The 25215-nt window shown below is 48.2% G+C and overlaps 1 protein-coding gene across 9 annotated transcripts in view, besides 2 other annotated features; it reads left to right on the top strand.

The window, feature by feature from the left end:
• CAMSAP1 (calmodulin regulated spectrin associated protein 1) overlaps nucleotides 1-25215 on the top strand; it is a 99060-nt gene that overhangs the window by 3305 nt on the left and 70540 nt on the right. For 3 of the 9 annotated variants that reach the window (NM_001411031.1, NM_015447.4, NM_001437279.1), the window contains exons 2-3: nucleotides 21164-21426; nucleotides 22448-22609. The exons of 2 other annotated variants lie outside the window; for them this stretch is intronic. Coding sequence is in view for 6 of the 7 variants with exons in the window: in NM_015447.4 (NP_056262.3) it covers nucleotides 21164-21426; nucleotides 22448-22609 (425 nt within the window). In the remaining variant the exon portion in view is untranslated. 4 more of the 9 variants (NM_001437280.1, XM_011518272.2, XM_017014301.1 and 1 more) reach the window with 3 other exon arrangements.
• Nucleotides 14482-15185: an enhancer, noted in NCBI's record as "H3K27ac-H3K4me1 hESC enhancer chr9:138780903-138781606 (GRCh37/hg19 assembly coordinates)". NCBI's record gives its function as "activates a minimal SCP1, AML or CMV promoter by ChIP-STARR-seq in naive H9 embryonic stem cells {active_cell/tissue: H9 hESC(naive)}" and the evidence as "EXISTENCE:reporter gene assay evidence [ECO:0000049][PMID:30033119]".
• Nucleotides 16365-16659: an enhancer, noted in NCBI's record as "tiled region #8889; K562 Activating non-DNase unmatched - State 14:Gen5', and HepG2 Activating non-DNase unmatched - State 10:DNaseD". NCBI's record gives its function as "activates a minimal TATA promoter and a strong SV40 promoter by Sharpr-MPRA in K562 cells, with weaker activation in HepG2 cells {active_cell/tissue: HepG2 | K562}" and the evidence as "EXISTENCE:reporter gene assay evidence [ECO:0000049][PMID:27701403]".

The raw sequence follows: 25215 nt of genomic DNA, 5'->3' as shown, positions 1-25215 counted from the left end.
TTTTGTAGAGATGGGGGTTTTCTTTAAACAGTTTTTATTTTTGTAAAAATGGGGTCTGTTTGCCCAGGCTAGTTTCGAACTCCTGGGCTCAGGTGATCTGCCCGCCTCGGCCTCCCAAAGTGCTAGGATTACAGGCATGAGGCACCGCACTTAGACCTCCTGTGTAAAACTGTGTAAAAATTGAGACTCTCTTTAAATTTACAGGTTGGAGAGATCGTAATTCAGATGACCGAAATACTTGCCTCAGCTCAGCTGAAGTGATTTACGTTGTTGGGGTCACAGCCTAGGTGTGAGATTCGCTGCTACCCAGTGTGGCTGTATCTTGTAAGAGACTGAGTGGGGAGGGGGTTTTGGTAGGACAGTGTGGGTCCCCCCAACACTTCTTCTAATCCAGCAGCATTTGCTTTGTTTCTTCTTTTGAATGTCTCCATGTACCTCTCCAGCTTAGTTTTCAGTTAATCAGACATGGTTCTTTCAATATGGATGTTTTAATTGGAAATCGCTTTTGGGGGTATGATGGTGAAAGTGGCTTCAATATTTAACTTGTTAAAGGCTTGTTCATTAGGTTGCTAACTAAAGCCCATCCTCCATTTGTGTAAAGATTGAAAGCATTGAAAGCCTGCTGAAACTCCAGGGCTGGCTGCTGTCTTGTTTTGCATTAGCCTTTTGAGATTTTTGGTGTCCTGGGGCCACCAGTCTGCCATTGTAGTAAGTGGGTGGGCTCAGGAGAGCTTGCCCTTGGCGAGGCCTTGTGGCATATGGCTGTGCAGAAACACTTCCTTCAGTTTCATTCGTTCCTGGGGCCACAGCCAAGAATTGTGGCCGCCTTGGGCTTTTATTTTTAGGTCCCCCTCCCTTTCTTTTGGTAACTCTCTTGTTTCATTGACAGTGTTTGCATTTTTTAAAGAAATAATGTATTGGACATGTTGAAAATTGTCCGCTTAAAAATGTCTATAAGAAGGTGCAGAACCTGACTAGTCATCACATTTTGTGGTGATGTTTGAGTGAAAGTTGTAATAAATTGGTGGAAAGTTGAGGCGGTGGCTGAAGTTCCCTTTATTTTACCGCATAGCACGCTGGACTAGAGCAGTGCAGTCCTGGCGTTGATCTCGGCCACTGTGCGTTTTGTACATGCCCTTAGGAAACTCAGAGGTATCTAGGCCTTGGTTTCAGGGGACAATGTGGAGAGCAAGCTTTTATTATCTCTCAAGGACAATGTTAAAAAACAACCCAGGGCAAGTACTAGCATGCACTCAATTCTTTGCAAGGATGTCGGCGGTGTAGCTCAGTGGAAACCAGGTTTTCCTTTTGCTTGCAGAGCCAAGCTGCCCTGAACCCTAGGGCACTGGATGGGAGCTTAGGGTTCGCCAGTTCATCCCCTCTCCTTACTGACAGCACGTGGCCCTGTGCAGAAGCCACATGGCCTGCCCAGAGGCACACTGTTGGGAGGAATTGTCTGATCCCCTCCTTTTTTTCTCTTGCTAGAGTAATTCGAACTACTGATTTGGAAACCATGTTATGGAATAAGAAATCAGTGTGAGGATGCTGTGGCCTGTGAAGCCTGGGTTTTAGTCCCCATCTCAGGGACCAGCAGTTTCATGATATAGGCAACAAGAAGAGTTTACACTCCGGTTTGCTAACTTGACATGATGAGCAAAATCCCTTTATAATCAACTCCAGAGGGTCGCCATATTGTTTCCTTGTAGTGACTTTTCGTTAAAATGAAATCTGTGCTCAGAGCCCCTTTCCACCTCCAGAACTTGCCCTCCTGTGTAAAACTGTGTAAAAATTGAGACTCTTTATTTAAATTTACAGGTGAAACCACTGCGTGTCTTCCTCCCTGTGTTGGCAGGAGGGCAACAGTGGTTGGAGTCTTGGTGTGAAGAGGCTGCTCTTGATGGCAGCACACTTGTAAGCACATTGCCACATTTCTGAAGGTGATGACTTGTTCAGATTATTGGTTTATGAGTTTAGATTGTATATTTAAATCGTCTTTGGTTGTTCTTGACAAGGGATTTGGGTGTTTCTGACATGGGGGTTACAGAGCATCTTCAAATGCTTCCTGAGCACCTGTTAGGTGGTACTAAATACTGTGGGAGTTGCTAGTTGGTCCAGCTAGCATGACCTTTCCTCTGCAGAGGTGTCCTGAGAACCACCTGCTGCCTAGTTATGTGTGCATCTCTGTGAGGCCAGGGATTATGGTTGTCCCACTTACTGCTGTGTCCACAGTACAGAGTGCTCAAATACTTGTTGAATGGTTAGCCCCTAAGAGCAGAGGGGAGGGCAGCTGGCTACAGCCCTGTGCAGAGGAGAGGTGTCTTCGGGTGTACTGAGTAGATTAACCTTGTTGAGGCGGAGGATTTGTGGACTGAAATAGTAAGTGATTAGTTTGGAAAATAGTCTGGGGCCAGATTGTTTATGGTGCTCAGGTTGGCTGGGGATTTCTTTGATGATGTTCGCCTGGGAGGGTTTTTAAGTAGGGGGATGTCGTGCCGAGAGAGCGAGCCTGGGAAGATGTTTTTAGCAGGTTTGAGTGGGTAGAGGCCATAGACAGGTGTTCTACCTGAGAGTTGATGTCGTTAGGCTGGAAATGCCAAAGACTTGCCTGTTCTTGTTTTTATTTTTTTGAGACAGGGTCTTGCTCTGTTGCCCAGGCTGGAGTACAGTGGCATGATCACAGCTTACTGCAGCCTTGACCTCCTTGAGCTCAAGTGATCCTCCCACCTCAGCCTCCCGAGTTGCTAGGATCACAGCTAGGACCACAGGCCTGCACCTCCTGGTCCGGTTAATTATTATTTTTTGTAGAGGTGGAGTTTTCCTGTGTTGCCCAGGCTTCTCAAACTCCTGGGCTCAAGCAGTGCTCCTACCCACCTTGGCCTCCCAAAGTGCTGGGATCACAGGTATGAGTGAGTGAGTTAGTCCACTGTGCCCAGATGGACTTGCCTGTCTGTCGGCAGAGGGAATAGGAAGGGTAGATAGAGCCAACAGATATACAAGCTGAATCTATGGAGCTGGACTGATTGACAGTGGCTGTGGGAGGTGGCTAAGGGTGAGTTACAGTCAGCTGAACTGCCATGGGGAGCCCAGACACAGGAACGATGGTGCCCTTGACAGGAATATTTAGTCATTATTTCATAGCATTTTTCTACTTTCATAACTTTTGTTGTCACTACAGAAAAGATCTTTGAGGCTAGGCGTGGTGGCTCATGCCTGTAATCCCAGCACTTTGGGACGTTGAGGTGGGCAGATCACCTGAGGTCGGGAGTTTGAGACCAGCCCGGCCAACATGGTGAAACCCCGTCTCTACTAAAAATACAAAATTAGCTGGGTGTGGTGGCATGCGCCTGTAATCCCAGCTACTCAGGAGGCTGAGGCAGACGAATCGCTTAAACCCAGGAGGCGGAGGCTGCGGTGAGCCGAGACTACGCCACTGCACTCCAGCCTGGGCAACAGAGTGAAACCCTGTCTCAAAGAAAAGAAAGATCTTTGAGTTTTTTTTATTTCTGGCTTTCCTGAGCTCCCACCTAGTCCTCTCTTTCTTTTTTTTGAGACGGAATCTCGCTCTGTCGCCCAGGCTGGAGTGCAGTGGCATGATCTTGGCTCACTGCAAGCTCTGTCTCCTGGGTTCACACCATTCTCCTGCCTCGGCCTCCTGAGTAGCTGGGACTACAGGCGCTTGCCACAACGCCCGGCTAATTTTTTGTATTGTTTTAATAGAGACGGGGTTTCACCATGTTAGCCGGGATGGTCTCGATCTCCTGACCTCGTGATCTGCCCACCTCAGCCTCCCAAAGTGCTGGGATTACAGGCGTGAGCCACCGTGCCCGGCCCTCTTTTTCTTAGAGTGGTTTATTATTCCCCAGTCACTCTCGTCCCATCACTTCAAACTCAACTAGTCAAAATTAAACTTATATCTGGGGGTGGAGTGTGGTGGCTGACACCTGAAATCTCAGCACTTTGGGAGGCTGAGGTCGAGGATTGCTTGAGCCCAGGAGATTGAGACCAGCCTGGGCAACAGAGTGAGACTGTCTCTACAAAGAACATAAAAATTAGTTGGGCATGGTGGTGCACGCCTGTTGTCCCAGTTGCTTGGGAGGCTGAGGTGGGAAGATCAGTTGAGCCCAGGAGATTGAGCCTGCAGAGAGCCATAATTGTGACACTGCACTTCGGCTTGGGTAACAGAGCAAGATCCTGTCTCAAAAAAGGTTAAACTTACATGAGTTCAGTTGGGCATTACATTGTGAACTGTGGGGCCCTTCGTATCCTTTTCAGGCCTCCTGTAGCAATGGAAGTGTCTGCATATACAGAGACCCATAATGACGGGCTTGAGGAGGCTGGCTCTCTAAAGGGCAGATGCTACTGGCAGAACAGGGGAGTAGAGGGAGGGAGACTCCCCTGAGGGAATCTGGAATGTTCCATTAGAGTGAAAACTGAGTTTGTAGTCTAGGTGTGTGAGAATCAGATGGAGGTAAGGGAACGAATTAAGAGAAGCAAAGACAATAGGGGGAAGTGGAGGGGAGTGCGTGATGTGCACACCGTGTGGGAAAGGCTGGTGGCCTCATGGGGGTAGTGGCTGCAGAGTTGGAAGGCGAAATTAGACTGGAAAAAGTGCTGAGGCCAGAGCGCAGAATGCTTTGAGTGGCTGATTCGTAGATTGGGGATTTGCTCTGTGGGAATTGGGGAACCACTGAAGGTTTCTGAGGAGGGGAGAGATGTATGAAATCTGAGCTTTTCAGAGAAGTCCCTGCTAGGATACAATGGTTAATGCCCATTGTAAGGTATAAAGTGAAGACTTTTGTTTTGGACTTTTTTTTTTTTTTTTTTAATAGAGACAAGTTCTGTCAGGGATGGTCTCGAACTCCTGGGCTCAAGAGATCCTCCTGTCTCGGCCTCCCAAAGTTCTGGGATTACAGGTGTGAGCCACCGCGCCCGGCCATTTTGGACCTTTGAGAGAACCACTTTTATCGAGGTGTGATTTACATCTGGTAAAGCACACATGTTTTAAGAGTGTAGTTTGAGGAATTTAAACCACTGTGACCACAACCACAATCAAGACAGCATTCTCATTACTTCCCGAGTTTCCTTTGTGCCCCTGCCCGGCAGGACCCACCCAGGGCTTCACTGCTCTGCTCTGTTATTGTAGATGAGTTTCCTCTGTGCATCTAATCTGACTTCTTTCACTTAGCGTAGTATTTTTGAAATTCATGTTGTGTAGATCTTTTTTGCTTAGTAATAATATTCCATGGTATGGCTAGCTCACGTTTTAGAACTCCATTCATCTGTTGGTGATTATCTGGGGGCATTTCCAGCTTTTGGCTATTATGAATAGAGCTTCTGTGAACATTCATCTATGTGGACAGATGTTTTCATTTATCTTAAACAGCTGTGCTTGGGATTACTGGGTGATAATAAGATACATATGTGTAACTTTGTAAGAAAGTGCCCAGTTGTTTTCCAAAGTGACATATTTATTTGGCCAGCAGCTTATGTGAATTCCAGTTGCTTTGCATCCTTGCCAACACTTGATGATGTCAGTCTTTTTGATTTTAGTTATGTAAGTAGGTGGGTTGTATCTCACCGTGGTTTTTGTATGCATTTCCCTGATGACTTATGATGAGCATTTTTATATGCTTATTGGCCATTCGAGTACCTTTTTCTATGAAGTATCTTAAAATCCTTGGCTAATGTAAAAAAATTAAATTTTAGTTTTGAGTTAATTGTGTATATATATATATTTTTCTTTAAACAATTTTTATTTTTGTAGAAATGGGCTCTCACTGTGTTGCCCAGACTAGTTTGGAACTTCTGGACTCAAGTGATTCTTCCATCTCAGCCTCCCAAAGTGCTAGGATTACAGGCGGGAGCCACCACGCCTGGCCAGTTGGAGACAGTTGTATATTAACATGCATTTTAAAGAAATACTATACAGAGATCCTTGGTACCCTTTACTCAGTTTCCCTAATGATGACTTCTTCTAAAATTGTAGCATAATATTACACCAGGATATTGACCTTTATCTAATCCAGGTACAGATCATTCCATCCCAGGAGGACCTCTACTGTTGCCCTTTTCTAGCCACACCTGTCTCCTTCCCTTCTGCTTCCTTCGGGTTTATTTTGGTCTTCTTTTTCTAGTTTCTTGAGCTAGGAACTTGTATTAATGATTTGAGACCTTTCCTCTTTTCTGATGTAAGACTCTAGTGCTGTAAATTTCCCACTTAGTACTGCCACAGCTGCATCTCACATATATGTTGTTTTTTCATTTTCATTCAGTTCTAGGTATTTTTTAAAAATTTCCTTTGATAACTACTTCTTTGACTCATTGTCTTAGTTCATTTGGGCTGCTATAACGAAATATAGTAGTCCCCTGTTATCAGTAACCTTTGGTCAACTGTGGCCTGAATATATTACATGGAAAATTTAGAAATAATTCATAAGTTTTAAATCGCATGCTGTTCTGAGTAGCATGATGAAGTCTTACGCCATCTTGCCTGGTACGTGACTTATCCCTTTGTCCAGCATGTCCACACTGTATATGCTGTTCTCGTAAGTCATTGATATCATCTGCTCCTGACATCCCACCATGGACGTCATCATGGCTTGATGACCCAGGATCTCTCCAAGCAGATAGTTCTCTGTCTGACCTATTGTCAGAAGGTTGGGAGTAGCCTAAAGCTAGGTCACTACTATGCCTAATGTCATTCAACTCACTTCATCTCATCATGTAGGCATTTTCTCATCTCACATCCTCATGAGAAGTGTGAGTATAGTACAGTAAGTTGTTTTGAGGGCCAGGCGTGGTGGTTCACACCCGTAATCCAAGCACTTTGGGAAGCTGAGGTAGGAGGATAGCTTGAGTCTAGGAGTTTGAGACCAGCCTGGGCAACATAGCAAGACCTAGGATCCACATTAAAAAAAAGAATTAGCTGGGTGTGGTGGCTGTGTGCCTGTAGTCCCAGCTACTCAGGAGGCTGAGGTGGGAGGATCGTTTGAGTTGGGATTTGAGATTACAATGAGCTGTAATTGTACCACTGCACTCCAGCCTGGGCAACAGAGTGAGACCGTGTCTCAAAAAAACTTTCGTGTGTAGGAAAGTATAGTACTGAGCCCTATATGTATATATTTTGTTTCTGGAATCCTCTGAGGGTCTTGGAGCTTATCCCTTGGGGATAAGAGGGGACTGCTGTACTTTTGAGTAATTTATAAATGACAGAAATTGATTGTTCATGGTTCTGGAGGCTAAGAAGTCCAAGATTAAGGTGCCAACAGATTTGGTGTCTGGTGAGGGCCTGTTCCTCATAGATGGCACCTTCTGAGTGTCCTTATATGGCAGAAGAGGACAGGCTCCCTCAAGCCTCCTTAGTCTCATTCATGAGGGTAGGGCCCTTGTGACCTATTCACCCCCGAAAGGCCCCACCTCTCACCACTGCCACATTGGGGATTAGGTTGCCGTGTGAATTTTGCAGGGGCAGAAAACACTCAGACCACAGCACTCCTCAATGATTTCAAACTTTTAATTTTCAAGTGTTCAGAGATTTTCCTGTTTTGTCTTATGTATTTCCCATATGATTTCATTAAGATAACCTAGTTTGATTTCTTTTATACTTGTTAAGGTTTGTCTTGTGGCCTAGGATATGTTCTCTTTTAGTGAATGTTTCATGGGCATTTGGAAAAAAATGAGTATTCTGCTGTAACTTGGTGGAGTGTTCTATCAGTTGTATTCTGCTAGTTGGTTGTGTTCTGATTTATATCTTTGTTGATTTTATGTCTAGTAATTCTGTCTAGGGGGTGTTGAAGTCCCTAGCTATACTTGTAGATTTGTCTGTTCCTCTTTTTAGCTGTGTCAACTTTTTTCATGTACTTTGAGGCTTTATAGTTTGGTGCGTGGACTTTCAGGATTTTTAGGTCTTTCTGGTAGATTGATCCTTTTATCATTATGTAATGTCCCTTTTTGCCTCTCGTAATTTTTCTACTTTATTAATGTAGTTCTGCTTTTTTTAAAAAAGTGTTTGAATGGCGTATCTTTTTTCCCTCCTTTTAGTTTTTAACCTACTTAAGTTGTTGAATTTGAAGTGTATTTCTTGTAAAGAGCATGTAATGATGTTATGTTTTTTAATCTACCCTCTACCAGTCTGTCTTTTGATTGGTGTATTTAGAGTGTTTACATTTACTAATAACATTATATTGTTAACAATTACTATTTATAACGTTAGGACTTGAGTCTGACATTTTATAGTTTGTTTTCTGTTTGTTTCCTCTGTTTCTTGTTCCTGTTTCTCTTCTCTTGACTTCTTATTGGTTAATTGACCATTTTTTAGGATTTTCTCTAGATTTATTTATATTGTTTTTGGGTGTATCTCTGTATAATTTCTTAGTGACTGCTCTGGGTATTACGGTATACTTATGTGACTTACAACAGTTTACTGATATCCTTATTTTACTGTTTTCAGTGAAATGTGGAAACCTTTTTTCCATTTAGCCGCCCTTGCTCTCTCCACTTTTAAATACCACTGTCTTGACCATCTGACAGTGTTAAAATTTTTGTCATCGTATGTAATTTAAAAAACTCATAAGGAGGGTAGTCTGTTGTATTTACTCATTACTCATGTCTCTGCATTTTTCTTCCTGGTCCTCCAAGATTCCTTATTTTCTTGCTCTTTGGACAGCTTCCTTTAGCCATTCTTTAAGGTTTGACAGATTATTTTATTTTTCTTCACCAGAAAACATCTTTATTTCCTCTTCATTTTTTTAAGGATAGTCTTGCTGGATATGGAATTTGTGGTTGATTGACAGTTCTTTTCCTTCAGCACTTGAAAACTGTGCCACTTCCCTCTGGCCTCCATAGCTTCAGATGAGAAGTCTTTGGAGCTGGTGTTCCCTTGTATGTATCGTACCATTCCCCTTTGGCTGCTTGAAAATATTTTGTTTTTAGTTTTAGAAGTTTAGTCATGATGTGTCCTGGTGTGGATTTCGTTAGGTTTATCTTTTTTGGAGTTCACTCAGTTTCTTAAAACATTTCATTCATTCCTGTCATTCAACATGTTTGGGAAGATTTTCTCTCTTTCTGTTGCTGTTTCTCCTCTTTGATCTGGGCTCCGGTGATAGAACCCTTGGATCTTTTGTTATTCTCCCGCAGGTCTTGGAGGCTCTGTTCTTCTTTTCTCCATTGCAGTTTCTGCCTGTTGTTCAGATTGGGTAGATTCTCTTGATCTGACCTCAAGGTCAATGATTCTGTCTTCTGTCATCTCAACTATTGCTGAGCCCATCCAGTGAGTTTTAAAATGTCTGTTACTGTATTTTCCAGTTCTTCATTTGGCTCTCATTACCAGAATTTTCTAATTTTGTTTCAGGAGAATTTGTGATTACTTGGGAGTGATTTCATGCCAGTTGCTTTAAAATCCTTGTCAGATAGTTCCAACATTTGATTTATCATGGTGTTTGTGCCAGTTCATCATCCTCTGATTAAAGTCATTTCTGATGGCTTCCTGATCATTTTGTCTATTTTGTTAGGAAACTCTGGGTACTGGTTTTATTTTAGCAGTAGTCACCTTGTTCAGGTTTAGCATGCAGGCCTGTCCTACTTTTGTGACTGTGGTTCTGGTGATAGTCTGACCTTCCTAGCCTTTGTGGTGCTGTTTTGGTCGCTTGACTTAGCCTCTCCCCTGGGGCTTCCATGGGTCCCCACTGATGTTGCTCGAGGGCAGCAGGAGCTCCTTAGGCTGGGCAGCGTGCTGCCTCTGGATGGACATGGGAGTCTCTGCGCACAGGACCAAGAGCTTCCCAGGCTGGGTGTTTGTTTTACACCCCTGCCTCTGAGGGGTGGAACATTTCAGCATCACCGTCAGGTGCGTGGAGTGTGGCTCCTGTGCCGGTGTCCGCCCCTCCCCTCGGATGGCTTCCCTCAGTGGGGAGAGGAGTCCCGTGACCAGTGGGGAAGGAGAGTGCCTCCTAGGCCAGGTGCTGGTGATGGTGGTCCCACTTGCTGGATTCCCTTGGTGCAGGGTGTGTCTAGTTTGTGGGAGGGGTGTCTCAGGTCCGCCTGATGGGGAAGGAGAGTGCTTCTGGGCTGAGGGATCTCTTGCTGATGTCCCTACCTGCTGATTGTTAGTAGGGCTTGGGCTCGCCTGGTGTGGTAGGTGGAACTCCTACTCAATCCAGGGCAGAATAAGTGTACCTGGGTTGCCTCTGTTGCTAGGCAGGGAGTCAGGAAGCATCAGGCCTGTGTCACCTCCCGTTGGGTGGGGGGTCGTAAGAACACCCTGTTGCTGTGTTGGTCCTCCAGTCCTGAGGCCCTAAGCCAGTTTGCTTTCCTCTTCCACCTTTCAGAGTCCTCCTTTGTCTCTAGGGTTCTCTCCAGGGTTTATGGTTGTGCTTAGAGGAGAGGAACAGGGAGAGACAAGTGTGTGCCATTTTGTCCTGGCCAGAAATTCCTTCTGGCTGCTTGAAAAATCTTCTCTTTGTCTTTGGATTTCGTCAGTATTACTGTGAGTTCTTTGGTCTGTAGATGTCTTTTTTTGAATCCTGCTGGCATTTTGTAGTGCTTCTTGAGACTATGGTTTCATGAGCTTCACAAGTATTGGAAGATTCTCATCCATTATATGTTTACTGTTTCTGCCCCATTTTTTCTTCTCCTTCCTGGGCCTCCAATTACATGTCAGTGGCACAGTGTATGTTATTTCTGTCTCATTGTTCTTCACTCAGGATGCTTTAATTCTCTTATCTGTATCTAATCTATTCATCAGCCCATTGTATAAAGTTAAATTTAGTTACTATGTTTTTCTGTTCTACAACCTTTCTTTTGTTTTGTTTTCCTTTTCTTCTTTCTTTTCCTCTTTTTTTCCTTTCTCCTTTCCTTTCCTTCTCTTTTCTTTCTTCCTGCCTTTCCTGCCTTTTCTTTTTCTTTTTTGTTTTTTCCTTTCTCCTTTTCTTTTCTTTCTTCCTGCCTTTCCTGCCTTTTTTCTTTTTTTCTTTTCTTTCTTTCATCTCTCTCCTTCTCGTCTCTCTTCTCTTCTCCTTTTCTTCTTTCACTGTCCTCCTCTCTCCTTCTCTTCTCTCTTCTCTTCTTTTCTTCTTTCAACAGGATCTCATTCTGTCTCCCAGGCTGGAGTGCAGTGGTGCATTCATGGCTCACTGTAGCCTTGAACTCCTGGGCTCAAGTGATCCTCCAGCTGCAGCTTCTTGAGGAGCAGGGACTACAGGCAGGTTCTACTTTGCCCGCCTAATTTTTAAAACTTTTTGTAGAGATAGGGTCTCATCATGTTGCCTAGGCTGGTCTCAAACTGCTGAACTCAAATGATCCTCCTACCTTGGCCTCTCAAAGTGTTGAGATTATAGATGTGAGCCACTGTGCCCAGCCTATAATTTCTGATTAGTTCTTTTTTTTTTTTTTTTTTTGAGACAGTCTTGCTCTGTTGCCCAGGCTGGAGTGCAATGTTGTGATCTTGGATTACTGCAACCTCTGCTTCCTGGGTTCAAGAGATTCTCCTGCCTCAGCCTCCCGAATAGCTGGGATTACAGGCGCATGCCACCATGCCTGGCTAATTTTTGTGTTTTTAGTAGAGACGGGGTTTCACCACGTTGGCCAGGATGGTCTCCAACTCCTGACCTCGTGATCCACCCGCCTTGGCCTCCCAAAGTGCTGGGATTACAGGAATGAGCCACTGCACCTGGCCATGATTTGTTGTTTTCTGAAAAAATTTGTTTATAGAGATGGGATCTTGCTATGTTGCCCAGGCTGGTCTCCTGGGCTCAAGTGATGCACTGCACCTGACTTAGCTTTCCAAAGTGCTGGGATTCCAGGTGTGAGCCACCACACCCAGCCTATTTTGTTCTTTTTCTAATCTGTCAAGTTCTTTTTTCTTCTTCTTTTGATTTTTTGTAATTTCCACTTTTCTGTCCAAAATTTTAATCGTGTCTTTTTTGTTGCTATTGTTTGAAGCATGGTAACTGAAAGTCTGTGGCTGGTACCTCAAGTTGTGGGGTCCTGCGGGCCTGTTTCGTCACCTTTGGTCTTCAGCAGTTTATTATGAACCATGTCTGCACACGGTTTTCTTTGAGTTTATTCTGTTTGGGGTTTTCTAGGCTTCCTGAGCCTGTAAATTGGTGTCTTTCACCAGATTTGGGGAGATTTGGGCCATATTTATTCATATACTTTTTTGCATCAACCTTTTCTCTACCGACAGTGTTGGAACTTTTGACATCGTCTCATACTTCAAGACTTGCCATTTTATCCCATCAGTTTCTTCTCTCTGTTCTTCAGATTGGATTCTTTCTATTGATCTATTTTCATATTCACTGACTCCTCTGTCGTTGCCATTCTGTTGAGCGCATCCAGTGAATTTTATGTTGCCATTGTACTTTTTAGTCCTGAAATTTTCGTTCTAGTTTTTAATTTCTCTGCTGAGATCTCTATTTTTTCATATATTTTAAGAGAGTGTAGCTTTACCTCATGGAACTTATAATAGCTGTTTTAGAGTCTTTGATAACTAACATCTGGGTCATTTTGGGGTTGGCCTCTGTTGGTTGTCTCTTCCTTTGAAAATTGGTCACATTTTCCTGGTTCTTTGTTGAATAATTATGGATTGGGCTCTGTGAACATTGGGCTCTGTGAACATCATGCTGTGAGACTGGTTTCTGGGTCCTGTTAAAGTCCTTTGGATAACGTTGATTTTGTTTTGCAGCTGGGTTGCAATAAACCCCATTGGGTTCAGCCCAGGAGTCCGTTTTGCTGTCATGGGTGGTGGCTGCAGTGTTGGTTCAGCTTCCACAGCTTTTGCCTGTGGCCCCGGGCCTGCCCAAGGCACACACAGCTCAGGAGTAAGCCCAGATCTTGCAGGCTCATACACGTCTCTGGGGATCCCTCTCCAGCTCTCCTTTTGTGAATTCCTTACACACTTTCTGGCTCCGAGGAACCTTCTTCCTCAGCCTCTGCCTAGAAAGATGGGCTTTCCTCCTTCCTTACCCCGTGCCTAGGCTTCCCTGTTTCTGCTGCTCATGCTGCCACTGCACAGCTCTGTGACTGCAGCCAGCTGGGTCAGGCTGGGAGAGAAAAGTGGGAGCCCTCAGGATTCCCCCTCCAGCTTGTAGGGGCCCCTTTTCCTCGTCCTCTAGCCAGAGAAAGACAGGGTTTCTCTCTGAGCCTGGCTGTCTGGGGCTGCCCTCAGGTCCAGCCAGGGCAGAAAAGAGAAAACGAACCTGAGGAGTCCCCTGTTTTGGGTTCCTTCTTCAGGATGGACCCTCCTCCCCAGTGTGCCTGCTGCAGCTTACTTTCCAGAGTCCTTAGGTAGGTGTTTGTCTTTTGTCCAGAGTTTTTAGCTGTTGTCAGCGGGAGAGAGGGGCTGTCTTGGACTGTCTTCATCTTGGCAGGCTTCAGGAGTCTGGGAGCTTGCTTCTGTTACTGTTTCTGCTGGCTTTTGCTCATGATGTCTTGTCATTTTGCTTAACTGACCATTGTATGTGAAAGATTTTGGAAACAGTCTGAGGCCTAAGATATAATCTTTTCCCAGGGGGAGTTTCCGTTGGCTTCCAGCGGTCCCTTGGAGACAGGAACAGATCTGGTCACCCCACGCGAGGCCCTGGTGGAGGTGCCTCAGAGCCGTGCTCTAGTCCCCTGAGGCTGGGCTGCTTCACGTTTGCTCCTGCTCCTGGGTGCAGCCCTTCAGGTTACCCACCCAGAGTATGTGGTAGGCGTCATTGGGCAGGCCCTAGAGTCCAGATTTTGTCCTTAGAAAGGTGCGGTGCCAGAAACACAGCCTGCCGTCTTTACCACCTCTCCTGGCACGGACAGCTCCTCCCAGGCGCCCTCAGGGGGAAACCGCGGTCCAGGAAGAGGGACGGGTTCTCTGGATTGCGTCTTCTGCCTGAACTTGGCCTGGTGATTCCTCACCACCCAGTTGGCCGGCCAGAGCCTCCCGCAGGTGTGAATTGTGTGTGTGGAGCCTCTGTGGCTGTGAGTTGTGTGTGTATAGCCTCCTGCAGGTGTGGATTGTGTGTGCAGAGGCTCTGTGGGTGTGAGCTGTATGTGTGTGGAGCATTCCACAGGTGTGAGTTGTACATGCGGAGCCTCCATGGGTGTGGGTTGGGCATGCGGAGCCTCTGCGGGTGTGAGCTGTGTGCACTGTCCTACTGTGTCTGCCACGGGGGCTTACTGGCCTAGCACAGGGTCCACCGTGCCTGGAAGGAGGCTCCCTCCCATCCCACCCCGAGGGGCCTCCCATGCTCCTTTGCCCACCTTTGCTCCATGCCTCCTTTCCAGGCTCAGGCTGTGCAGTTTGTGTTTCGGTTGCAGTGGTTGTGGCCCTTGGGGGCCTCGAGATTTCTTCGTGAGCTCAGGGGAGCGAGCTACGGGTGGGAGCTTACGGGGAGAGGACCTGGTGCCAGCACCTTTCCTGCTGGGTTTCTGAGGTGTGAATGAGGGTGGCCGGCCGGGCCTCAGGTGCAGAGCCTCTGGCCTTAGAGTTTGTGCTCCACTCTAACCATCCCATGCGCTCCCACGGCCTCTCAGAAGAGCTCAGGGGAAGGAGGAGGAGGGGCTATGAGGGTTGCCCCTTAGTGTCTGCCTCCTGGCCCAGTGAGGTCTCTGTCACTGCGCTCATGAGATGGCCCAGGGCAGCTGCTAGCAGGCAGGCTCTGCAGCCCCTCCAGCCTCTCCTCACCAGCACGTGGCCTCTGCTCCGGGCTTGGTCTTTTCTCCACACTGGGGCTTCTCTTTGCTGGGAGTTCTCTGAGTTTCTGTGAGAGTTTTTGTTTCGTTCGGGCTTCTGCCTGTGCTTCTTGGAGCATTGTTCCATGGTCACTTTGAATTCCTTGTCAGACAGTCCCAACCTTGGGACATTGCCTTTTCTCCTGGAAGTTGCAGGTTTTCCTGTGGGTCTTTCTTTTTTGTTAAGGAGCTTTGGGTTGTGTGTTGGGCATTTGCAATATTGTATTTGGAGGCCGTGGGTCCTGTTGGAGGCCTGAGGTGTTGGTTTTGGTTTGTTCTAGCAGGTAGTCCACCCAGTTACGTCGAGACTGCAGGCCCTGACCTGCTCCTGGGGGCTACATACAGTTGAGCGTAGGTTTCATTTTCGGTCTTCGTCCTGCCGCTCTGGCTGGGCTGTGGGCTGTGGCCCTCAGAGTGGCTGCTGTGCCACTGTAGTTGCTTCAGGAGTGGCCAGGATGTGACACAGATTTAGAGGGTCTCCCTATCCAGCCCCCTCTTCTCTGGGATCCTCTCCCCTCTCTGAGGGTTCCCGAGGGTCTCCCTTGCTGGCCTTCTGGCTGGAAGCCAAGTCTGCACCTGAGCCTGGTGTGGCATGCCCGGGCCAGCGCCCTGTGGGGTGTGTGCTTGTCTGTGCACCTGGCGCTCCGCTGTCAAGGTGCAGTTTGTTACTGGTTGTCCCTGGGTGGGGGTCAGGTGGTCTTGGCCCTGTGGGGACCATTACATCAGCTTTTCTTACCCTTGTGTCTGGCCTCTCCAGGATGGAGCTGGGGCGTGGACTACTGGTCGCTTTTACCTTGAGTTGGAATTATTTCCGTTGACTCCTTATATCCAAACAGGAAGAGTATCCACGTTTTCCAGGTGGAGACACTCACCTTTGGGGCCTCTGCAGAGGTGACTTTCTCAGTGTCAAATGCAGATAGCCAGGCCGCCCACGGGGACATTCTGGGAGAGCTGGTCTCAGCTCCCAGGTGGCTCAGACAAGCAACAGAGCAGAGACTCACTGTCCTGCACGTCTCTGGGCTGTGCCTGGCACTGCAGTGGCCTGGTCTTTTTTCCTGGGGCTGAGTTGGAGGCTACGGGAGTAGCTGGCTTTAGGTTGGGCAGTGGCCACAGTTGTAGCACCTGCCAGAGGGGTCTTTGCCGTGTGCTGCCGTGGAAGAGCTGGCGGTTGGTGTGGACACCTCCTCCCGAGCCCCGTGCAGGTGCCGCGGGAGGGCTGCAGTCGACAGATGGCCACTTCCTGACCTGCCTTTTCATCCTCATTGCAGTAATAGCGACGGAAGGAATAACAGCTGAGACTCCCGTGTGCATCCACAGAGCTTATGCTCAGCTGGCGCAGGGCAGGAGATAGACCCTTTCGTTGTTCGGAACGGACAGGTAGGGGGCCAGGGTTCAGAGGGATCCAGTAAGAGGCCAAGCTGGGACTCTGGGCCAGGTGGCTGTGCTGGGCCCTGCCCTTGGGAGACCCCAGCGCTCCAACTCCTGCTCTCCGTCAGTTGCCACCCCTCTGAGTTCCTCCTGCACTTAGTGTTGACCTCACTTCCACTGCAGACTGGTTAGAGTCTTCTGACCCCTTCCCAGGGCCTTTCTGTGTGGCTCCCGCCGAGGCCTGCCCCACAGCAGTCCAGCAGCCACTGCGAATGCGTTGCTCATGGGTACTGACGTAGCAGTCCGAGGAGTGACAGTGCTGCCACCCTGACAGTGCCGTTGCCGACTCTTGTCTCCAGTCTCCATGGGCCCCTGCCCTGCCCGTGTCCTTGTTTGACTTTCACTCTGCCCCCTGTAGCCGCACTTCTCCCCACTTCCTCCAGGCTGGGCCCTCCCACTCAGCAGATGCCCTGCCTCCTGCTTAACATAGTAAGACAAACTGCAGGTGCTGATGGGCCGCCCACCCCTTCCCTGCGTCTGTACCCTGACCCAGTGAAAGACACTGCCCTACCTGGGCCCTGCATCCCTCCCCTCCGCCTCCCGAGGGGCCTCCTTTCTCAGGAGCAGCCTCCTCCTCTTCAGCCTCTCCCATTGATTGGGTTTTCTTTCGTCACCGTTTCTCCAATCCTTAAAGCAGACACATCTTTTTTGGCCACACTTTCCCCTCAGAGCAGAGGCACAGTTCCCGCTGTTCTCACTTCCTTCCTTCTGTGCCTGCGGCTGTCTCTTCACCAGTTCTCAGAATGCTCTTCCCGAGGCTGCCAGCTGAGTCCGGCGGGCTCTGTGGTCTTCATGCATGCATCCTTCTCAGCCTTCCTTGGTGCACACTGCCCCTTCAAAACCTCCTCTGGCCTTGGCAGCACCATGTTCTGGCCCCGCCCCGTTCTCTGTTCACTTGTCCGTTTCTTTGGCTTCTCTCCCGACATCTGTCCCGTGGGCTTGGTGTCCTCAGGTTGCCTTGACCAGCTTCTCCCACTGCGCCCGGCTCTCACTGGATGACTCGTCCCCCTGGGCATCGATGGCTGTGTATATGTAATGGGTTCCAAAGCACGTCTCCAGCTGGTCCCTTTACTCTTGCGCTTCCAGTCTCTACACCTCTCCATTGCAAAGCTCCCCTTGGGTCCCACAGGCTCATCTCTCCTGTCCCCGACTGCCCTCCTCCTCCACACTACTGGTTTCCTGTCTTAGGAAAAGGGACCGTCCTGCTCCAGGCTGGCAGGAATTATAAGTTTGGTGTTTTTGTCGTACTGCATCAGGCACAGGCCTGCTGCTCACGCCTCCTGGGCAGTGGTTCCCCTTCCCGGGGCTGCCTGCCTGTGTCAGCCTCCATTGTCTCTCCTGGCGGTGACCACAGCAGCCTCCTGGGTCCACGCTCATTCTCCACTCTTGTTTACGGGGAGCTCCAGCAGATGGGATCTCCTCGTCCTCTGGCTTGTCTGACCCCCTTACTTGATGTGGTCTCATTGCATTCCTTGTGTGCCCGCCTAAGCCTGTCTCGCTCTGCTGACAGATCCCGCAGGGCCCAGGTCCTCCCAGCGCAGGCACGCACAAGAGCCTGGTGAGCTAATGAATGAAACATCCAGTTTGCCTCTTCCGCGCAATTCTGAACTGCTGTCACTTGCTGAAATTCTCTTAACAGGGTCATTTTCATGTTTTCCTCTCGCTCCTACCCACCCCCCTACTGGCTGCTTCCTTCCCTAAGAAACTTCTCCACCTGCACATCCCACTGCCCCACTGCCCCACTCCTCAGTGCGGGACTGGTGTCTCCTGCACCCCAGTCCCCCAGCACTCATCCTGTGTGACACCCTCCACATTGCGTGGAAATTACCTGTTGACTTTTCAGTTGTCTTACGAGGCTCAGCCTGAGAACAGTGACTTTATCTCTTCCTGTTTGACTCCCTGGCATTTTTGTACATTTTCTGGCTCACATGGGTACTTAATAATTGTCGAATGAATGTGTATTAATTCTAACAGTCTTACTGGTTTGTAGAAAAAACAACAAGAAACTATTAGAAATACATTGAAGGCATCACAAAGTTTTTTTTTTTTTTTAAGTAGGTATTGATTTTGATAGAACGTTAAACGTTCTAGAACTGTGCACATCCAGCTCTCGCAGTAGTTGCTTTCACTGAAGCCAGTTACTCATGGACAAGTGCAGTGTCTGAGGGCAGAACTGCCACAGCAGGGCCATGGAGGAGTGTGGCCACTGTCACCCAGTTGGGGGTCTGGCCAGGGTCTTCCTTAGGCCGGATGGAAAGGAGTAACATACAGTTAGGAGGGCTTCACCACAGTCTGAAGCTTGTATCTTTAGTAAGTGCGTCATTTTCCTTTAACTCTCATTTTCCTGCATCTGAAATTTATGTGAATTAGTTGTGTTATGCATATTCATATATGATTCAAAAAGGTGATTATATGAATCACTTTATATTGATTAATTTTAAAAGTGGGTCACCCTATGGCAAACGTTTCTACTTGGTAGATTGTAAAAGAGAAACTTAAATCAGAGCCATGGTTGCTTTTTCCTGTCTGGCCAGGTTTCTGCATCTGTGAGGTAGGCTCTGCCATTCTCCCTGGGGCTCACCCTGCTTCCATCTAATGCCAGCCCTCCACTTACGTGCCTGTCCCGTCTCCCACTCTGCACAGAGCCATCACTCTGAGGGGTCCCCTGGGGCCTTTCTCCTCAGCTGTGCCAGTTTCTGCTCTCCTAGGGGGACTGCATCACAGTTGTCTAAGTGGGAGGAGAGGGTGGCTTGGACCAGGCCGGTTAGGCTCGAGGTGCCCCCAGACATCTACATGGAGATGTCAGATAGGCAGTTCAGGGAAGTGATCAGGGCCAGAAATGTACATTTGGGGATGACTGTGTGTCTGTGGTATTTCTAGCCATGAGACTGAATTAGGTCATTAGGGAGGAGTGAGATAGGAAGTGCCCCTTCCAATATTTGGAGAAGTGAGGGGCAGCTGGCCTAGGAGATGGGGATGGAGCAGGCAGCGAGATGGGAGGAAGAGGCCAGGTACCCCGAAAGGAGAAAGGCAGCTCCCTCCAAGAGCCCTGACTAGGTGGGCTGCTGGTGTGGTCAGTTGAATAAGAGGAAGGCTGAGAGTGACTGTCGCATCTTTCCCCGCAGCCGGTGTGAACTGCTGCAAACGTTTTCAGGTTATGGGATCCCTTGCTCAGTGCCCTCCCCTGACTTCCCTCCACGGCCCATGGGTGGAGGGAACTTGGACAAACATGGGCCCACAGGCCGCCTGTTTGTCCCTGGCCACCTTGCTCTTGTTTCCTGGGACGTCTCACTCCGGCGTGTGCGGGGTGGCTCTGTGCTCACCTCTGCAGGTCAGCTTTCCTTGAGCAGTTTGTAAGGACAGCAGAAGTCTTCCCGTTGTGCTTGGCATTGGGGCCTGTTCCTTGTGTTACTGCTGTGCTCTGTTGTATTTCAAAAGTTCCAATGATTTCAGATTAGGGGGCTACTCGATGTGGTCAGCAAGTATAGGATTTGAGTCTGTTAACATCCACTAAGCCAGCCTTCCATAGCTGGAGCCCTGGCTGCCCTTGGGTTGCCGTGATGACCTAATCATTGTGTACAACCATGCTTAAAACAAAAATGCTGTGTAAACGGTGACTGCTGCCGTTTAGAAGTAAACCAGCTATGAGGTGCTCAGATTGTGGGGAAATGACCAGACTCCATGGGACCATAATGAAGTGACTCAGGGCTCAGGAAAATAGTGAAGGAAGCCAGAAGAGATGGCAGCAGAGAGAGAGGGGTGCTGTGGGGAACCATCGCCACAGCTGGTTCTTCCCCTGGGGAAGAGCTTAGGAGAGCTTGGCTCGGAACACAAGACAGGTTTGTTAGTGTCCCCATGAATGTCTCTAGTGTTACTGGTTGTCTGAACGCTAGGAGTCAGTGGGGTTTCTTCATGAGCTGTTCTGTGGAGGTGGTAGTCCTTTCTAAACTCTGTGGAGGTGGGAGTATCTGCACCTCCTAGCAGAGTGTTGGGCGCGGGGCACATTAAAGACCTGGGGGTCACGTGTTTCCGAAATGTGTCTGACTGCAGACATCCCTCGTCCTCCGTCTTTAGTGGGACAGCCGTTGATGTCTTGTGAGACAGTGTGAGGGGCATAGTGGCAAGGCTAGAAAAGTGGGTGAGGCCAGCTGTGACACATTCGGTGTCCCGTGTGTATGCTGCTCCTGCGCTGTTTGTGTGGGAGGCGGCGTATGTTGCAGCCGGAAGTATACAGTAGGCTCTCTGGATCAGATTGTGTGGGTTCAGGCTGGTCTCTGCCTCCTGTGGCCTTGAGCACTTACTTTCTCTGTGCCTCAATTTCTCATTTGTAATGTGCAGATGGTAGTCCTCATTTGAGGGAACTGCAGTGGCAAGATTAAGTAGCGTGGTTCATGTCAAGAGTTTGATGCTGCCTGGTCCAAAAATGGATAAAGGCTGATTGCTGCTGCTGCTGCTGTGTCGTCATGGTTACAGTGGCACCACGCCTGCCTGGCTCCCTCTTCTGTAAAGACCATGGGTGTTCACCCTCTGTTATCACTTCTGATTTTCATGTCAGAAAGAGGATGCTGGGCTCCCTCCCCGGGCTGATGCCAGCCCTGCCCACATGCTGTCTCCGCTGGTGTCCCCAGGCACTACATGGTCCTAGCCTGTGCTGGTTTCCCCTCAGCCCCATTAACACACTCAGGGCTCCCATGTCTACCTTCTTACTGCTGTTAAGTTAGGACAGTCATCCTTTGAGGTCACGGTGGAGGTCACGAAATGATTTCAGTTGTCTGTGTTCACAGAGTAGTCTGAGATGCTACAGTTAGTTGCCTTTGTAAGTACAGAAGACAGTAGAATTATTGAAAAGCCTAGAGCCTTTTCACGTTGTTAGTTGCTCATTTAATCAATCAATCAATTATTTTTTTTGACACTTGGTCTCCCTGTGTTGCCCAGGCTGGAGTACAGTGGCACAGTCATAGTTCACTGCAGCCTTGAACTCCTTCCTTTGGGTCTTGTGTGTGGCACTCACCTGGTCATCCCCTCCCTGTCTTAGATAACATCCCTGAGGACCTCAGAGACCCTTTCTACGTTGACCAGTATGAGCAGGAGCACATTAAGCCGCCTGTTATCAAGCTTCTCCTGTCCAGCGAGCTGTACTGCCGTGTCTGCAGCCTCATCCTGAAAGGGGACCAGGTGGCCGCCTTACAGGGACACCAGTCTGTCATCCAGGCCCTGTCCCGGAAAGGGATCTATGTGATGGAGAGTGATGACACCCCCGTGACAGAGTCCGACCTCAGTCGCGCACCCATAAAAATGGTGAGTGGTCTGCGGTGGCCGCCCCCAGGGGCCATCCTCTGGAGCCGTGGGCTCTCGTGTGGCGCACCTGGTGCATGGATGGTGTGAACACGGTGTGCGGCGAGGTGGTGGAGACCCGTGCTTTTGCACACTGGCGTTCCTTAGGAAACTGCATATCTTTTAAAGCACATGACTGTTGTGGAGAATGGGGAAAAGAGAGCTTTCATTGAGCTCTTTTTCTCATTGGGAATGCTCTGTGAATGCTGAGATTGGAGTGAGGCCTGTTAATAAAAATACTTGAAGCAGACTTTTTACAGATGAGAAATGTAATTGTTGCACCCATTCTGTTAGGTTGTTTCATGCATACTTTGTGCTAAAATAACTCAGTCTGCCTTTTTCTCCCCCAAGTATCCCACCCCCATCTTTCTCTGAAGCCTTGCTACTGGTGTGCCTTTTCCAGAGCGTTCTGGGTCAGGGCCATTCTCGGTGCCTCCTGCACTGCCTTTGTTTGGTTGCTCCCATGGCGTTCCCGGTGAGACTGCGGGTGCCGTGCGGTGGTTGAAGAGAGTGTCATTCCTGTCGAATGAGGAAGCTGCACTAAGGCGTGGTGCAGCTGTAGCAGGTAGAGCTCTGGACTAGGAGCCAGAGGCCTCTGGTGGGCAGTTGGCCTGGGGCAGGTCTCCTGTCTGCCTTCCCACAACCACGACCTGGGAGCTGCACCGCCTTTCCTGGGAGTCCCACAGGGCTGTTGAGGAGATAAGAAAGGACAGTGTGAGACAGTGCACTGTGGGCCACAGGGCTGGCCTGCCTGCCTGAGAACGGACTCCTGGTTCCAGACGGTCTTGAGGCTTGACCAGAAATGCCAGGCTTGGAACAGTGATGGTGCGGGGGAGGCAGGTCTCAAATCTGAGTATCTCTTCAGACGGAAAGGGCGAGGGATGAAGAAATTAGGCCAGAATGCTGAGTATGAGCAGGTTCCCTGCATCAGAACCTGGTAAGAGGGGTGGGTTTGAGGGATTATAGCTGCTGCCTCTGCCCCTAGAGTGCCCACATGGCAATGGTGGATGCCCTGATGATGGCCTACACTGTGGAGATGATCAGCATCGAGAAGGTGGTGGCCAGTGTCAAGCGCTTCTCAACGTTCAGTGCCTCGAAAGAACTTCCGTACGACCTCGAGGATGCCATGGTGTTCTGGATCAACAAGGTGAGTGCCCTGCCTAGATGTGGTGTGTGACTCTGCTTCTGTGGCCGGTCTCCTTTTCACTTGAGAGCAGCACACCTTGTCTGTCACGCTGAGACCCAGCCCTTCATTTGGGACCAGTCATATTTTGTGTCCAGAAATGTGTCTGCTGTAGTTAAAAAGAAGCAAAGCAAGCAGGTGTTTCTCCCGCAGGCCGAGAGTAGAGGGTGATGAATTTATATCTGAAAATGCAGCACATGTCGGTACTTTGAGTGCCTTTAAATTTTTTTTTTTTTTTTGAGACAGGGTCTCACTTTGTCCCCCAGGCTGGAGTACAGTGGCACGATCATGGCTTACTGCAGCCTTGACCTCCCAGGCTCCAAGTGATCCTCCTGCCTCAGCCTCCTGAGTAGCTGGGATCACAGGCACGTGCTACTATGCTTGGCTAATTAATTTTTTTATTTTTTTTAATTTTTAGTAGAGAGGGAGTCTCACTGTGTTGCCCAGGCTGGTCTCGAACTCCTGGGCCCAAACAGTCCTCCCTCCTTGACCTCCTGAAGTGCTGGGATTACAGGAATGAGCCACCACACCTGGCCAGTGAATAATTTCTTTTTATTTTCATAGTATGCACCTATATGCAATAAAGGAGTTTATCAAAATGCCTTCAGAAGCATTTTGATTATTAAGGAAAAAAAATGGCATTTTCCCAAATGCTGTTTTCTCCTTTTACATTTAGAAGCTCATAGTGTAATTTTAAATACAATATATGTAAAGAATGTTTACTTTTAGTAGTGTCTAATGATTTATAAGGTTACCTTACCGGAGCCTTTGGTTAGTAAGCATCCTGATATGCAAAAAGGTGTTTAAGTTTGCGCATTAACACAGCAAAGGAACTAGAAGGTTGTGTGGCCCCATGTGAGGCTGTATTAGCGCGCCTGAATAAGAGGCTCACGCAGGATGGTTCTGGAGTTACTGATAGTTAGCTTGCACATGCAGAGCCAGGCCGGTGCTCCATCTGCTGGCTCCCTGGAAGACCCCTCCGTCGCTGTGAAAGGCGGGTCTTTGTCAGGAGTTGGCAGACGTTTGTGTTTCGACTTTTTCTAAGACAGTTGCCCTGCTCTTGAGCTGTTTTCCTACCCAAGCTTGGGGTTGGTGAACCAGGTGGATGGGCAGACTCCTTACATTTCCTTATCCTGCGGTGAGGTAGGGACAGAAAGCCACAGGGTTTTCTAGGACTCAGTGGAGCCTCCGGGCCCTAGTTCAGATTTGGGTGTCAGCCAGTAGCATCTCTGCCCCACTCTGCCTCTACCCATGAGGACGCCTCTTGGTGGTGAGCGCCATGTCTCACTCATCCCTGGCTCTCACCTGGCGGCGTGCATGTGGGAAGTGCTTGCAAGAATTCTGTGGAAAATGGTGTTCAGGCCTAGTTCACATTTCCAGAGGAGCCTGAGCTTCGGGGACGCTCCTGTAATGCTAGTGGAAGCTTCCTGTGATCAAAAGTCAAATTTTAGCTTTTCTTTAATATCTTTTATTGATTTTTCCTCGTATTAGAAATGACATAGTTATAGAAAATGTAGAAACTATGGATGAACAAAAAGAATAAAATGTAAATTACCCGTAATCTTATCACCTATGAAAATGGTTAACATTTTGGTAAAAATTCTGATAGTTTTTCTTGATTTGTATGTGTTATATAGGCCTACAACACAGTGGGGAGCCTACTGTGCTTTCTGTCGTAAGCCACGTTTCTGCTTGGTACGGTACTGTGCAGTGAGTTTCTGCTCATTGGCCAGATATCTGATTTCAGCCGTTCCAGTGACTCCCCTGTGGCCCTTCTGTGATCTCAGTGTTGCTGGAGGTCAAGTTGTCTCCTCTCCATCTGTGCAGTAGTCTCCGTCCAGCCACGATGATTTCCCTCAGGCCACGTTCCTGCGAGGGGAATGGTTGTTCATATTTAAGGACTTTGTTTTTTGTTTGCTTGTTTTTTTTTGGCCAAATCTGAACCTAAAGATTGTAACATTTTCCTTTCTATTAGTTTGTGTAGGTGTCTTTTCCCATGTCTTCCCATATCTTGGGCATTATTAAAAATTACTTGCCCATTTGAAAGGTGAAAAATAGTGTCTTTTTCTATGGTAAAGACATAGAAAAACTTAATTCTGGGTAAAATTGCAGATTCTGGGTAAGAGCATCTGTCCCTTACTCTCCTTCTCTGGTGAATCACTTGTTTGTTATCTTTGCCCGTATTTTTTTGGGCAAGAGGGTATGTTTCTTTTTCCCCTGCTTGGTCACGTTTCTCATTTGCTGTGCATTTGTAAGTGACTTTTCAGGCTGTTGCTGGCCTCTGTGTTTCTGTGGACTTGGCAGATAAATAGAAGGTGGTCTCCTTGTAACCAGAGACATCATTTTCCTTCCATGCTATTCTCGTTTCTACCTCTGTATTTTAAAGAAATACATTGTATTTCCGGCTCCTGACTCCTCATTTGTGGACATGATCTACTGAGGTAGGATTGTGACAAATGGCAATTACAGTGATTACAGTTTCCATGGCCCTCCACTCCCCTCCTCCTCATTCCCCTGCGGTTGCATTGACAGCTTTGGACACGTTCACAGTCAGACTTGATGTTCCTGTG

The sequence above is a fragment of the Homo sapiens genome, chromosome 9 (assembly GCF_000001405.40).
Source record: "Homo sapiens chromosome 9, GRCh38.p14 Primary Assembly".
Classification (NCBI taxonomy): Eukaryota; Metazoa; Chordata; class Mammalia; order Primates; family Hominidae; genus Homo; species Homo sapiens.
This window is presented reverse-complemented; position numbering and strand designations above follow the sequence as displayed.